A 16,027-nucleotide genomic window follows, 5' to 3' on the forward strand; every position below is an offset into this window, starting at 1 on the left:
GTAAGGATGAACGTACTATAATTTATTAGCCAGCCACTTAGTGATGTACAATTAAGCAGTTTTAAATCTTTGACTCTTGAAAATATTGTTTCTCACACATAAATATTTCTATAAAATAAATTAGTTGAATTAGAATTGTTGGAGTTCAAGACCAGCCTGGCCAACATGGTGAAACCCCATCTCTACTAGAAACACAAAATTAGCCGGACATGCCGGTACATGCCTCTAATCTCAGGTGAGGCAGGAGAATCACTTCAACCTGGGAGGCAGAGGTTGTAGTGACTCGAAATCACGCCACTGCACTCCAGCCTGGGCGACGCGAGCGAAACTCTGTCTCAAAAAACCAAAAAAAATTAAACATAAAAAGAAAAGCGGTACATATACCCAATAGAACACAATTCAGCCTTAAAAAAGAAAGAAATCATCTCATTGGCAACACGAATGAGCCTAGAGGATGGTACACTGAGTGAAAGAAAGCAAAGGCCAGGCACGGTGGCTCATGCCTGTAATCCCAGTACTTTGGGAGGCCAAGGCAGGTGGAAGCGTTGAGCCCAGGAGTTGGAGATGAACCTGGGCAACATGGTGAAACCCCATCTCTAAAAGAAACACAAAAATTAGCCAAGTGTGGCGTTGGACGCCTGTAGTCCTAGCTATTCAGGAGGCTGAAGCGGGAGGAACTCTCGACCCCGGGAGGTGGAGGCCGTGGTGAGTGAGCCGTGTTTGTGTCACTGTACTCCAGCCTGGGTGACAGACTGAGACCCTGTCTCAAAAAATAAATAATTACATAATAAAGATTTAAAAAGCAAGCACAAAAAGACAAATACTGCATGATCTCACTTATATGTGCAATCTCAAACAATGCAACTCATAGCTGTAGAGAGCAGAACGGTGGTTACCCGAGGCAGGGGTCAGGGAGGGACTGGAGAGATGATAGTCTCATGATACAAAATTTCAGAGAGGAATGGTTCTAGAGATCTATTGAACAGCCTGGCATCTACAGTGTATAAGTATGTATTGTATACTTGAAAATTGCTATAAGAGTAGATTTTAGACATGTCCTCATCACATTAAAATCAGTATGTGAGGAAACGAGTGTGTTAATTAGCTTGATTTTGTCATTCCACAATGTATACACGTATGAAACATCATGTTGTATGCCATAAATATATATAATTTTTATTTGTCAAGTTAAAATTAAAATTCATATAAATTATAAAAATAAAATGAAATAACATACACTACAAAAGACGTTTATTTATTAAATCCCCACAGAAGGGGTCTAAGTGATAAAGGAAAATAAAATTCCGGGAACGGTAAAATCAATCAGAAATGCCCTACTTCAGTGCTTTCCGAAATTTGTCTGACAGAGTGGAAATCCAGTTTTTCACTAAGTCACTGTTCTGGAACAGTTTGTGTGTGTGTATGTATGTGTGTGAGGGCTCACATACACAAATTGAACTAATGGAAGTGTAAGCATTCAAATTATCAGTTTAATTTAGTTCTATACATATACACACACACACACTCACACACCGAAAACATTGATAAAATCAGCCATTCCAGCAAAACTAGCTACTTAGTGTCTATCTCTCCTTGAAGATTCAAACTAGAAATGAGGATTTAGAGAGGCATGATGGTTCGTTCTCTCTTGGAGCCCAGTTCGAAGTTGACTGACTGATTCAGTCATTGTAATTGGTTGGTCTTGGGGAAGAATCCACTTTGACTCTTGGGAAGTCAGCTAGGTCAGCGGAAAGAGCAGGGGCTCTGGAGCCAGACTGCCTGCACCCGACTTCTAGCTATGATACCTTGGATAAACTACTTATCACCTGGGCTTCAGGTTCCTCATCTGTAAAATGGGGATAAGAATGCTATCTCTCTCACAACTATTAGGAGGACTGACTGGGTTAATACGTGCAAAGTACCAAGTACATAAGAAACCAACAGCCAGTGCTCATTACAATCATTATTATTTTGGGCAAGTTAAGCCGCACGGTTTCTTTAGGTATAAAATTAGGCTTTATTTACCTACCTGTTGGGTTGTTCCAAGGATTAATCACATAGTGTTCATGAATTCCCTTTATAAACTATTATAGAAAAGAAATATAGTTAACATTAATTGAACACCTACTATGTGCGATCGTTTTAAGGCTTGCCATGTGCTGCTTCATTCAGTCCGCACCATGACATTAGGATCACACTTTCGTTTTCCATTTTTTTTAAAATTATACTTTAATTACTAGGGTACATGTGCACAACGTGCAGGTTTATTACGTATGTAAGCACGTGCCATGTTGGTGTGCTGCACCCATTCACTAGTCATTTACATTAGGTATATCTCTTAATGTTATCCCTCCCCCTCCCCCCGCCCATGACAGGCCCCGGTGTGTGATGTTCCCCTTTCTGCGTCCAAGTGTTCTCCTAGTTCAATTCCCACCTATGAGTGGGATCACGCGGTGTTTGGTTTTTTTGTCCTTGCGATAGTTTGCTAAGAATGATGGTTTCCAGCTTCATCCGTGTCCCTCCGAAGGGCATGAACACATGCTTTTTTATGGCTGCATAGTATTCCACGGTGTATTTGTGCCACGTTTCCTTAATCCAGTCTATCATTGATGGACATCTGGGCTGGTTCCAAGTCTTTGCTACTGTGAACGGTGCCGCAATAAACATACGTCTGCGTGTGTCCTTTTAGCAGCATGATTTATAGTCCTATGGGTGTATACCCAGTAATGGGACGGCTGGGTCAAATGGTATTTCTAATTCTAGATCCTTGAGGATTCGCCACACTATCTTCCACAACCGCTGAACTGGTTTACAGTCCCACCAGCAGTGTAAAAGTGTTCCTATTTCTCCACTACCTCTCCAGCACCTGTTGTTTCCTGACTTTTTTATTGATCGCTATTGTAACTGGTGTGAGACGATATCACTTTGCGGATTTGATTTGCATTTCTCTGATGACCAGTGTTGATGAGCATTTTTTCATGTGTCTGTTGGCTGCATAAATGTCTTCTTTTTAGAAGTGTCTCTTCATATCCTTCCCGCACTTGTTGATGGGGTTGTTTGGTTTTTCTTGTAACTCTGTTTGAGTTCTTAGTAGATTCTGGATATTAGCCCTTTGTCAGATGAGTAGATTGCAAAAATGTTCTCCCTTTCTGTAGCATGCCTGTTCACTCTGATGGGAGTTTCTTTAGCTGTGCAGAAACTCTTTAGTGTAATTAGATGCCGTTTGTCAATATTGGCTTTTGTTGCCTTTGCTTTTGGCGTTTTAGACATGAGGTCCTTGCCCATGCCTATGTCCTGAATGGTATTGCCTAGGTTTTCTCCTAGGGTTTGTATGGCTTAAGATGTAACATTTAAGTCTTTCATCCGTCTTGAATAAACTTTTGTATAAGGTGTAAGGAAGGGATCCAATTTCACCTTCGGACATATGGCTAGCCAGTTTTCCCAGCACCATTTATTAAATAGGGAATCCTTTCCCCATTTCTTGTTTTTGTCAGGTTTGTCAAAGATCCGATGGTTGTAGATGTGTCGTATTATTTCTGAGGGCTCTATTCTGTTCCATTGGTCTACAGTAACCAAAAAGGCAACCAACAGCATGCTGTTTGGTTACTGTAGGCTTGTAGTGTAGTTTGAAGTCGGGTAGCTTGATGCCTCCACCTTTGTTCTTTTGGCTTAGGATTATCTTGGCAGTGGGGGCCCTTTTGTGGTTCCATATAAACTTTCAAGTAGTTTTTTCCAATTCTGTGAAGAAAGTCCTTGGTAGCTTGATGGGGATGGCATTGGATCTATAATATACCTTGGGCAGTATGGCCATTTTCACGATACTGATTCTTCCTAACCGTGAGCATGGAATATTCTTCCATTGGTTTGTGTCCTCTTTTATTTCGTGGAGCAGTGGTTTGTAGTTCTCCTTGAAGAGGTCCTTCGCACATCGCATCCCTTGTTAGTTGGATTCCTCAGTATTTTATTCTCTTTGAAGCAATTGTGAATGGGAGCTCAGTCATGATTTGGCTCTCTGTTTGCCTGTTATTGGTGTATAAGAATGCTTGTGATTTTTGCACATCGATTTTGTATCCTGAGACTTTGCTGAAGTTGCTTATCAGCTTAAGGAGATTTTGGGCTGAGACGATGGGGTTTTCTAAATATTCAATCATGTCATCTACAAACAGGGACAATTTGACTTCCTCTTTTCCTAATTGATTACTCTTTATTTCTTTCTCCTGCCTGATTGCCCTGGCCAGAAGTTCCAACACTATGTTGAATAGGAGTGGTGAGAGAGGGCACCCCTGTCTTGTGGCAGTTTGCAAAGGGAATGCTTCCACTTTTTGCCCATTCAGTATGATATTGGCTGTGGGTTTGCCCTAAATAGCCCTTATTATTTTGAGGTATGTCCCATCAGTACCTAATTTATTGAGAGTTTTTGGCATGAAAGGCTGTTGAATTTTGTCAAAGGCCTTTTCTGCATCTGTTGAGATAATCACGCGGTTTCTGTCTTTGGTTCCGATTATATGCTGGATTATGTTTATTGATTTGCATATGTTGGACCAGCCTTGCATGTCAGGGATGAAGCCCACTTGATCATAATGGATAAGCTCTTTGATGTGCTGCTGGATTCGGTTTGCCAGCATTTTATGGAGGATTTTTCCATCGGTGTTCCTCAGGGATATGGGCCGAAAATTCTCTTTGTTGGTTGTGTCTCTCTCAGCCTTTGGGATCAGGATGATGCTGGCCTCATAAAATGAGATAGGGAGGATTCCCTCTTTTTCTGTTGATTGGAATAGTTTCCGAAGGAATGGTACCAGCTCCTCCTTGTACTTCTGGTAGAATTCGGCTGTGAATCCGTCTGGTCCTGGAGTTTTATTGCTTGATAGGCTATTAATTAATGCCTCAATTTCAGAGCCTGTTATTGGTCTATTCAGGCATTCAACTTCTTCCTGGTTTACTCTGGGGAGGTTGCATGTGTCCAGGAATTTATTCATTTCTTCTAGATTTCCGAGTTTGTTTGCCTAGAGGTGTTGACAGTATTCTCTCATGGTAGTTTGTACTTCTGTGGGATCAGTGGTGATATCCCCTTTATCATTTTTTATTGCATCTGCTTGATTCTTCTTTCTTTCATTCTTTAATAGTCTTGCTAGTGGTGTATCAATTTTGTTGATGGTTTCAAAAAACCCGCTCCTGGATTCATTGATTTTTTGAAGGGTTTTTTGGGTCTCTATCTCCTTCAGTTCTGCTCGGATCTTAGTTATTTCTTGCCTTCTGCTAGCTTTTGAATGTGTTTGCTCTTGCTTCTCTCATCCTTTTAATGGTGATGTTAGGGTATGCATTTTTGATCTTTCCTGCTTTCCCTTGTGGGCATTTAGTGCTATAAATTTCCCTCTACACACTGCTTTAAATGTGTCCCAGAGATTCTGGTATGTTGTGTCTTTGTTCTCATTGCTTTCAGAGAATATCTTTATTTCTGCCTTCATTTCGTTATGTACCCAGTACTCATTCAGGAGCAGCTTGTCCGGTTTCCATGCGGTTGAGCGGTTTTGAGTGAGTTTCTCAATCCTGAGGTCTAGTGTGATTGCAATGTGGTCTGAGAGACCGTTTGTAATAATTTCTGTTATTTTACTTTTACTGAGGAGTGCTTTACTTCCAACTATGTGGTCAATGTGGAAATAAGTGTGATGTGGTGCTGAGAAGAATGTATATTCTGTTGATTTGGGGTGGAGCGTTCTGTACATGTCTCCTAGGTCCGCTTGGTGCAGAGCTGAGTTCAATTCCCGGATATCCTTTTTTAACTTTCTGTCTCGTTGGTGTGTCTAATGTTGACAGTGGGGTGTTAAGTTTGCCATTATTATTATTATTATTATGTGGGAGTCTAAGTCTCTTTTGATCACACTTTAAAGACCAAAAGGTAGAAGCGCAAAGACGTTATCTGTCCAATATTACAAACCTAGTAAGTGGTGGAATTTGGCCTTGAACCCAGATCTGTAACTCCAGAGCCGAAGTGCTTCACCCACCTCCCTGTGGTGCCTCTACAGAAAAAGAGGTAAGCAGGCATTCCGAAAGCTGGTGGGCCGGGGGGCTGGCCTTGTACTCAGAAGCCATGGAAGTCCCACGTGGGGTGGCTAGTGGTGTAAGGACAGAGGTCTCGGATGGGCAGAGGGATGTGGACAGGCGCGAGGGCGCGCGGCAGGGACTCGGGGGACTGGGAGTGGCGGCTCGGGGCTGCGGGAGGCGATTGGTGGAAGGACAGAGGTCTGGGAGGGGCAGAGGGATGTGGACAGGCCCGAGGGGCCGCGGCAGGGATTCCGGGGGACCGGGAGTGGGGGGTTGGGGTTACTCTTGGCTTTTTGCCCTCTCCTGCCGCCGGCTGCTCCAGTTTCTTTCGCTTTGCGGCGAGGTGGGCAGGGTGAGCTCTCGGGACTGATGGCGGTTTTGGAAGAGGCCTGGGGCTAAGGACAGGCCAGGGCGGCGGGAGAGGCGGACCGGTGGCGTGGCTGGATCTGGGCGCGCTGTCGGACCTTCCACATCACCAGCTGCAGGCAGGCGTTTGCGTCCTCGCTGGAGTTGTGGCCGTCCTGGCTGTCCTGGATGATCTGTGCCAGGTAGTCGGCCGCGAGATTCCTGAGGGAGCGCTTGTAGGGGAAACCCAGGTAGTGCGGGAAGAGCACGGCCGTGTCCACCACGGTGTTGTGGATGAGCTTCAGGGCCAGCAGGTCGCTCTCCAGGCTGTGCCCGATGAGGATGGTTTGGGCGCTGAAAAAGCTCAGCAGGATGGCTTGGACTTGGGGCAACGTGATGCTCGTCTTGGCGACGTCGGCCTCGGTGACTCCGGAAAACCTGGTGTTGTAGTCCACGATCTCGTTGTCGGGCTTGACGAAGGTGTCGTACACCACTCGCATGTCGGCGTCCACCACGGTGACGCGGGTCAGCTCCAGGCCATGCGTGGTGTAGCACATCTCACAGTCCAAGGCGTAGATTCCTGGATAAGCGTCTCTGGACAACTCTTTCTTGAAGGTCTCCACGAAGCCATCGAGGCTCTCCTTGCGGCCGTCCCGCACGTGCTGCTTTGCCACCTGGCAGCCCACAGAGCCAGGAGCAGCTGCACAGCAGGTGTACTGGCTAACCCGGCCTCCAGCCACCTGGCTCGAGCGGACCCGCCCCCAGTGATAATAACACAACTGGTCGCGTACACAGCGGCCCGAGGAGGACACCAGGTACTCGGTGCCACAACGGCAGCAGACCCTGCAGGAGGAGTCGCCGGGCCCCTTCCCCTGGCCAGTGAAGAGGACGGCGCCTCCGGGCCGCTCGGGGTGCGGGAAGGGGTAGCCGTTCTCCTTGAGCTGGTCCTGGGTGAGCAGGAACTCCTGGAGGCGGCTGTACAGGGCGGCCCTGCTGAGGCCGGGCATGGAGCTGGGGGTCAGGCCCTTCAGTCTCTTGAGGGTGTTCAGGACCACGTTCAGGTACCTGTTCTTGTTGGGGCTGCAGTCGTAGGCCACCTTCTCCTCGTTCAGCGCCTTCTCCTCGGCCTCCTGCTTGGAGGCGCAGAACTTGAGACACTCTTCGGTGAACAGTTGGAGATAGCCTCGGCGGAGGACGGTGGGGACTTGGCACCCAGAGCTTCGGAGGATAATGGGTTTCTTCAAACTCAAACTCGGTAAGGATGGACGACGGACGATTCGCTTAGAGCTGGTGGTGGCGGTGGTCTTGCATGCCATCCCTGACCTGTTGCGAGTCTTCCCTGGCTGTCTGCCGACCTTGGAGCCACGGGAGCGTTGGCTGCTGCTGGCCACCCGGGTTCTCTTGGCATCTGTGTAACCTGTGACCAAGCAAGGGCTGGAAGAGTGGGCGATCGTCTTCCTCTTCCTGGGGGCTGAGATGCGGACTCCCGAGGGCCTCTCTGTCAGCCTTGGGGCGGCTGGCAAGCGGCAGGCCGATCCCCTCTGCGCAGGGAAGTAGCACGACTCCGTCACCATCTTGGGCCACGCTGGGGGCACCGCCGGACCCCTGTTCTGGGGCTCCGCCTGGATGTCCACAAATGCTGAGGCCTGCTTGTGCATCTGGGGCACCCAGAGCCCGAAGCTCTGGGCAGGCTGATGAGAGGGCAGTGGGAATTCTGGAGCCTCGAGGGCCGCCTCCTCGGCCACCTTCTTAGCTTCTGGGTATCCAGGTGGGAACCAGCAGGGAGCTGTGGCTCGCAACATCTTGCTGCCTTCGGGAGCACCGGCCGGGCTCTGCTCCGCTCCCAAATGGCGGCTTGCCTCCGGGGCCGCCTCCTTGGCCACCTTCTTAGCTTCTGGGTATCCAGGGCGGAACCAGCAGGGAGCTGTGGCTCGCAACATCTTGCTGCCTTCGGGAGCACCGGCCTGGCTCTGCTCCCCTCCCAAATGGCGGCTTGCCTCCAGGGCCGCCTCCTCGGCCACCTTCTTAGCTTCTGGGTATCCAGGGGGGAACCAGCAGGGAGCTGTGGCTCGCAACATCTTGCTGCCTTCGGGAGCACCGGCCTGGCTCTGCTCCTCTCCCAACTGGCGGCTTCAATGAGTGCTGCGGCCGCCACTTGTCGCCTTTATATAGGCACAGGGCAGACTGGGTGGGACTTCTCCTTGATAGGTTGGTGCTTCAGTCCAATCACACTGAGCCTCATCTTCCACCAGACTCCAGCTTGGGAATGCCTCAGGGGGTGCGCTAATGGAATCAACTGGAACTCCCGGTTGCTAAACTTGGAGCTAGGTTGCTTTTCCTGAGTTAAGTAACTGTCCCGGCAGGGCAGTCCTATAATGGCTACTGGAATTGGGCTACCTAGGATTAAATTAAGGTTCAGGGAGGTTGGTCAACTTGCTTGGGCCCACACAGCACCCCTTGGAGCCAGGACTGGGCCAGCAGTCTGCTGCATGCTGGAGGGCGGGATCCCTCTGGGGCTGCCTTTCCCTGCTCTGTGCACTCCGCCGCTGCGGGCAAATTGAGGACAGGAAGCGGACCGCACCCACTTCTCTCCCAGGACTTGGGCAATGTTCAACACAGGTGGTCTTCCAAAGGTTCATAGAAAATGCACATGGTGAAGAAACTATGCATGGATTTCCACTGGTTTGCACTAAAATAAACTTGTCCTAACTTCTGATAACCTTTCTGAACTAGATCTAGTTTGAGGCACTAAGAAGGATGAGACATCCACTGAAAAGGACTCCCGTCAGAGCAACATGAATTCCACGAAAATTGCAGCAAGAGGAAACATCAAATTTATGGTGAAGCTTGGGTGGAAGATTGAAGACATCATTGACGTTTTAAGAAAAGCTTGTAAGGACACTACCCCAAAGAAATGAACTCTTTACGAATGTATAGCTTGTTTCAAGAAGAGGTGAGAAGATGTGGAAGATGAATCCTGCAGTGGCTGTGAAAACCACTGTGCCCAGATCAGCTGCATTTACGACGAGAGCTATCAGTGGAAATTTTAAACAGGAGGGATCACGATCCTGACGCATCCCTCTGACAAATTGTAAGCGGCAGTTGGAACATGGCTTCACCAATATGATCTCCAAGGCAAAGCATCATGAAAGCGATGGCTACCAAGAGGTGGCAGCGGTCCAGTCAAAGGAAAAGGAGGCCAGTCAGGAGCCCACATCATGGCATCAGTGTTTTGGGACACTCAAGGCATTTTGCTTGTTGACTTTCTGAAAGGCCAAACATCTGCTTATTAGGAGAGTGTTCTGAGAAGCTTAGATAAAGCTTTGGTAGAAACATGCTGGGAAAGTCTCACTAGATCCTTGTTCACCACATCAATGCTCTGCTCATTCCTCTCATCAAACAAGGGCAATTTTGTCAGTTTCAATGGGCAGTCCTTAGGAATTCACCTTACGGGCTGCTTTCATTCCTTCTAAATTCTTTTTGTTTCCTAATGATAAAAAGTCTCCTTGCCTTGCTTGGAAAGATGAGAGAAAGTCTCCTTGCCTTGTTTGGACAGATGAGAGATGAGATCCTCCTCTTCTCTCCCAGGACAGAATGGTGAGACTTGAGTTTCCTTTCTCCTCACTCTTCTCCTCCTTGAGGGAGCTGCTGTGCCGGACAGACCTGCCCCCGTGTCTAGACACTGGTAGACTCGTTTAAGTTCCTCACAGGCAATCCTCCATGGGGTCAAAGTGGAAGGACTTATTTCTTCAGGGCTCAGTAGTCCACATCCTGGCGCGCACCTTCACCAGCCCAGGGCGGGGTAGAGGAGGGTGAAAGGGCGTGGCTCAGAGCCCGCTTCTTCCGCTCGGGCGTATCCTGGGAGGAACCCTTGTCCGGTGAGCATGTCTTCGTCTCTACCAAATTCCCTAGTGGGACATTTCTGGCAGCCCTACTTGTTCAGCAGCTTACGGGGGTCAGGTGGACCTCTGCTAGTCACCAGCCTGAAGCCCTTTCTCCATTTCAGCTATTTTGGCAGTTGCCTAGGTGACTTTTGAACCTCATTATCCAGAACAGCAAACGGACGAGGGGTGAGAAGAGTGGCCGTCTGGGTTTGCAGCATAGTGCTGCCTTCTAGGAGTTGTGCAGTCTTCGATTGTGTGAAACTTCACCTGGCTGATTTGTGGCAATGCCTCCACAAATTCGCTAAATTCAGTAGCTTTGGCCTTCCAAGATTCATTTACACAATGTTGAATGCTTTAAATGAATGAGCATGAAGAGTGCTGGGCTGGAAAGTGATGAGATGGGTGGTAGGGACTCCTCGGAGTAGAGGAGTAGAGTTTTACTATTATGACTAGGAGGCAAATAAAAAGAAGCTGAACGTGATCCATAATAAAAGAAGCACACACTCACAGAGCTCCATACCAACTACATTAAAATGGAAATCATGATATTTGGAAATACAACTTAATTGGAAATCATTAAGTAATCTCATCAACCTTTTTACAGTGGGTGGCAGGGCTATGGAGGGAAAACAGCAATGGTTCTGGCACCTACTTAACTTGATTCCATTAAATTCACCCAACAGGCCTCCAGAGAACATATTACTGCTTTGATATTACAAAGGGAAAAACAGCTATGGCGTCTCTGAAAAGCACAACGTGCTAGGACTGGAATGACTTTAAAACCACACATAAATTTCTGAGAGATTTTTGCCATAAGGTACCATCCACCTTACTGTAAACCACATCCTAAAATTGTCTGCAGTGCAAATGGATTATGTGCATCCAACAGGAAACAGCATAGGTTGAGAAGCTGTTACTTAATAGCTTCATTGTCACCACGAGTGTAAAGTGTGGGGTCTCATCACTTTTGCACCCACGTTTTGTCTGTTGGTTTCTCCACACTGTCAGGAGCATTTGACCAACTCACTGTGGCTCAGGGTCCCTTACGCAGCCTGTTGGGGAAACCAGTGGGTATTGAAGACCTGCCTCTGGTGTGCCAGGAGGTTGTGCCTGCCGGCCACTCTGACTTGCGATCTTCCGCCTCAGTGTATGGCTTCCTACACCTGGGTAATTAACATTGCCAGCATGATAAGGAGGTCCTTTCATCACTATTGCCACTAGTCCTTCCGACTCCTGTGCCCTGTTTCTCCTTTATTGGAACCCAAGAACGAGTAAACATAGCATTTTCAAACATCCCGCCCCCTTCCCTGGTAACACCAATATTCCACCATCCTAATTCCCTCACAAGCATTCAGTCTCTCCACCCTGAGGTGGTGAAATCCCTGCAGGCATTTATAAGTATACCTGGACAGAAGAAATACAAGATACCGTTCTATTAACTCAATATAGTGTTGCTAAGTTCGTACTTGTGCTTGGTTTATTTTATTTTATAAATAGGTATCACTCGCATGGTTCCAAATGCGGTAGGCACAGAGAGAGTATATGATGGAATTACATCCTCCTTCCCTGCACTCAGCAACCGAGATCTTCCCGCTACGGGCACTCAAAGGTTTCATTGTCTGAAATATCAGCCTAAACGTAGTTTATGTTTAGGAAGCAACAACCGCAAATCGTCCCACATCCAAACGGAGTGGATTTAGGTTTCACTTTTTCAAGGAAAAACCATCAAAGAATTTTTCCACATACTAAAAAACCATCCCACGTTTTTTGTGTCTCTATCTCCTTCAGTCCTGCTCAGATCTTAGTTATTTCTTGCCTTCTGCTAGCTTTTGAATGTGTTTGCCCTTGCTTCTCTCATTCTTTTAATGGTGATGTTAGGGTATGCATTTTTGATCTTTCCTGCTTTCCCTTGTGGGCATTTAGTGCTATAAATTTCCCTCTACACACTGCTTTAAATGTGTCCCAGAGATTCTGGTATGTTGTGTCTTTGTTCTCATTGCTTTCAGAGAATATCTTTATTTCTGCCTTCATTTCGTTATGTACCCTGTACTCATTCAGGAGCAGCTTGTACGGTTTCCATGCAGTTGAGCGGTTTTGAGTGAGTTTCTCAATCCTGAGGTCTAGTTTGATTGCAATGTGGTCTGAGAGACCGTTTGTAATAATTTCTGTTATTTTACTTTTACTGAGGAGTGCTTTACTTCCAACTATGTGGTCAATGTGGAAATAAGTGTGATGTGGTGCTGAGAAGAATGTATATTCTGTTGATTTGGGGTGGAGCGTTCTGTACATGTCTCCTAGGTCCGCTTGGTGCAGAGCTGAGTTCAATTCCCGGATATCCTTTTTTAACTTTCTGTCTCGTTGGTGTGTCTAATGTTGACAGTGGGGTGTTAAGTTTGCCATTATTATTATTATTACTATGTGGGAGTCTAAGTCTCTTTTGATCACACTTTAAAGACCAAAAGGTAGAAGCGCAAAGACGTTATCTGTCCAATATTACAAACCTAGTAAGTGGTGGAATTTGGCCTTGAACCCAGATCTGTAACTCCAGAGCCGAAGTGCTTCACCCACCTCCCTGTGGTGCCTCTACAGAAAAAGAGGTAAGCAGGCATTCCGAAAGCTGGTGGGCCGGGGGGCTGGCCTTGTACTCAGAAGCCATGGAAGTCCCACGTGGGGTGGCTAGTGGTGTAAAGACAGAGGTCTCGGATGGGCAGAGGGATGTGAACAGGCGCGAGGGCGCGCGGCAGGGACTCGGGGGACTGGGAGTGGCGGCTCGGGGCTGCGGGAGGCGATTGGTGGAAGGACAGAGGTCTGGGAGGGGCAGAGGGATGTGGACAGGCCCGAGGGGCCGCGGCAGGGATTCCGGGGGACCGGGAGTGGGGGGTTGGGGTTACTCTTGGCTTTTTGCCCTCTCCTGCCGCCGGCTGCTCCAGTTTCTTTCGCTTTGCGGCGAGGTGGGCAGGGTGAGCTCTCGGGACTGATGGCGGTTTTGGAAGAGGCCTGGGGCTAAGGACAGGCCAGGGCGGCGGGAGAGGCGGACCGGTGGCGTGGCTGGATCTGGGCGCGCTGTCGGACCTTCCACATCACCAGCTGCAGGCAGGCGCTTGCGTCCTCGCTGGAGTTGTGGCCGTCCTGGCTGTCCTGGATGATCTGTGCCAGGTAGTCGGCCGCGAGATTCCTGAGGGAGCGCTTGTAGGGGAAACCCAGGTAGTGCGGGAAGAGCACGGCCGTGTCCACCACGGTGCTGTGGATGAGCTTCAGGGCCAGCAGGTCGCTCTCCAGGCTGTGCCCGATGAGGATGGTTTGGGCGCTGAAAAAGCTCAGCAGGATGGCTTGGACTTGGGGCAACGTGATGCTCGTCTTGGCGACGTCGGCCTCGGTGACTCCGGAAAACCTGGTGTTGTAGTCCACGATCTCGTTGTCGGGCTTGACGAAGGTGTCGTACACCACTCGCATGTCGGCGTCCACCACGGTGACGCGGGTCAGCTCTAGGCCATGCGTGGTGTAGCACATCTCACAGTCCAAGGCGTAGATTCCTGGATAAGCGTCTCTGGACAACTCTTTCTTGAAGGTCTCCACGAAGCCATCGAGGCTCTCCTTGCGGCCGTCCCGCACGTGCTGCTTTGCCACCTGGCAGCCCACAGAGCCAGGAGCAGCTGCACAGCAGGTGTACTGGCTAACCCGGCCTCCAGCCACCTGGCTCGAGCGGACCCGCCCCCAGTGATAATAACACAACTGGTCGCGTACACAGCGGCCCGAGGAGGACACCAGGTACTCGGTGCCACAACGGCAGCAGACCCTACAGGAGGAGTCGCCGGGCCCCTTCCCCTGGCCAGTGAAGAGGACGGCGCCTCCGGGCCGCTCGGGGTGCGGGAAGGGGTAGCCGTTCTCCTTGAGCTGGTCCTGGGTGAGCAGGAACTCCTGGAGGCGGCTGTACAGGGCGGCCCTGCTGAGGCCGGGCATGGAGCTGGGGGTCAGGCCCTTCAGTCTCTTGAGGGTGTTCAGGACCACGTTCAGGTACCTGTTCTTGTTGGGGCTGCAGTCGTAGGCCACCTTCTCCTCGTTCAGCGCCTTCTCCTCGGCCTCCTGCTTGGAGGCGCAGAACTTGAGACACTCTTCGGTGAACAGTTGGAGATAGCCTCGGCGGAGGACGGTGGGGACTTGGCACCCAGAGCTTCGGAGGATAATGGGTTTCTTCAAACTCAAACTCGGTAAGGATGCACGACGGACGATTCGCTTAGAGCTGGTGGTGGCGGTGGTCTTGCATGCCATCCCTGACCTGTTGCGCGTCTTCCCTGGCTGTCTGCCGACCTTGGAGCCACGGGAGCGTTGGCTGCTGCTGGCCACCCGGGTTCTCTTGGCATCTGTGTAACCTGTGACCAAGCAAGGGCTGGAAGAGTGGGCGATCGTCTTCCTCTTCCTGGGGGCTGAGATGCGGACTCCCGAGGGCCTCTCTGTCAGCCTTGGGGCGGCTGGCAAGCGGCAGGCCGATCCCCTCTGCGCAGGGAAGTAGCACGACTCCGTCACCATCTTGGGCCACGCTGGGGGCACCGCCGGACCCCTGTTTTGGGGCTCCGCCTGGATGTCCACAAATGCTGAGGCCTGCTTGTGCATCTGGGGCACCCAGAGCCCGAAGCTCTGGGCAGGCTGATGAGAGGGCAGTGGGAATTCTGGAGCCTCGAGGGCCGCCTCCTCGGCCACCTTCTTAGCTTCTGGGTATCCAGGTGGGAACCAGCAGGGAGCTGTGGCTCGCAACATCTTGCTGCCTTCGGGAGCACCGGCCGGGCTCTGCTCCGCTCCCAAATGGCGGCTTGCCTCCGGGGCCGCCTCCTTGGCCACCTTCTTAGCTTCTGGGTATCCAGGGCGGAACCAGCAGGGAGCTGTGGCTCGCAACATCTTGCTGCCTTCGGGAGCACCGGCCTGGCTCTGCTCCCCTCCCAAATGGCGGCTTGCCTCCAGGGCCGCCTCCTCGGCCACCTTCTTAGCTTCTGGGTATCCAGGGGGGAACCAGCAGGGAGCTGTGGCTCGCAACATCTTGCTGCCTTCGGGAGCACCGACCTGGCTCTGCTCCTCTCCCAACTGGCGGCTTCAATGAGTGCTGCGGCCGCCACTTGTCGCCTTTATATAGGCACAGGGCAGACTGGGTGGGACTTCTCCTTGATAGGTTGGTGCTTCAGTCCAATCACACTGAGCCTCATCTTCCACCAGACTCCAGCTTGGGAATGCCTCAGGGGGTGCGCTAATGGAATCAACTGGAACTCCCGGTTGCTAAACTTGGAGCTAGGTTGCTTTTCCTGAGTTAAGTAACTGTCCCTGCAGGGCAGTCCTATAATGGCTACTGGAATTGGGCTACCTAGGATTAAATTAAGGTTCAGGGAGGTTGGTCAACTTGCTTGGGCCCACACAGCACCCCTTGGAGCCAGGACTGGGCCAGCAGTCTGCTGCATGCTGGAGGGCGGGATCCCTCTGGGGCTGCCTTTCCCTGCTCTGTGCACTCCGCCGCTGCGGGCAAATTGAGGAAAGGAAGCGGACCGCACCCACTTCTCTCCCAGGACTTGGGCAATGTTCAACACAGGTGGTCTTCCAAAGGTTCATAGAAAATGCACATGGTGAAGAAACTATGCATGGATTTCCACTGGTTTGCACTAAAATAAACTTGTCCTAACTTCTGATAACCTTTCTGAACTAGATCTAGTTTGAGGCACTAAGAAGGATGAGACATCCTCTGAAAAGGACTCCCATCAGAGCAACATGAATTC

At 49.9% G+C, this 16,027-nt stretch overlaps 2 pseudogenes, besides 3 other annotated features; both read right to left on the bottom strand.

Annotated features, from left to right (window-relative positions):
* Window positions 291-792: an enhancer, noted in NCBI's record as "OCT4 hESC enhancer chr8:86560715-86561216 (GRCh37/hg19 assembly coordinates)". NCBI's record gives its function as "activates a minimal SCP1, AML or CMV promoter by ChIP-STARR-seq in primed H9 embryonic stem cells {active_cell/tissue: H9 hESC(primed)}" and the evidence as "EXISTENCE:reporter gene assay evidence [ECO:0000049][PMID:30033119]".
* Window positions 6,243-7,378, bottom strand: REXO1L3P (REXO1 like 3, pseudogene; annotated as a pseudogene).
* Window positions 6,843-7,710: an enhancer, noted in NCBI's record as "H3K27ac-H3K4me1 hESC enhancer chr8:86567267-86568134 (GRCh37/hg19 assembly coordinates)". NCBI's record gives its function as "activates a minimal SCP1, AML or CMV promoter by ChIP-STARR-seq in naive and primed H9 embryonic stem cells {active_cell/tissue: H9 hESC(naive and primed)}" and the evidence as "EXISTENCE:reporter gene assay evidence [ECO:0000049][PMID:30033119]".
* REXO1L1P (REXO1 like 1, pseudogene) lies at window positions 13,061-14,215 on the bottom strand (annotated as a pseudogene).
* Window positions 13,283-14,052: an enhancer, noted in NCBI's record as "OCT4-H3K27ac-H3K4me1 hESC enhancer chr8:86573707-86574476 (GRCh37/hg19 assembly coordinates)". NCBI's record gives its function as "activates a minimal SCP1, AML or CMV promoter by ChIP-STARR-seq in naive H9 embryonic stem cells {active_cell/tissue: H9 hESC(naive)}" and the evidence as "EXISTENCE:reporter gene assay evidence [ECO:0000049][PMID:30033119]".

Source organism: Homo sapiens, chromosome 8 (genome assembly GCF_000001405.40).
Source record: "Homo sapiens chromosome 8, GRCh38.p14 Primary Assembly".
NCBI classification, from domain to species: Eukaryota; Metazoa; Chordata; class Mammalia; order Primates; family Hominidae; genus Homo; species Homo sapiens.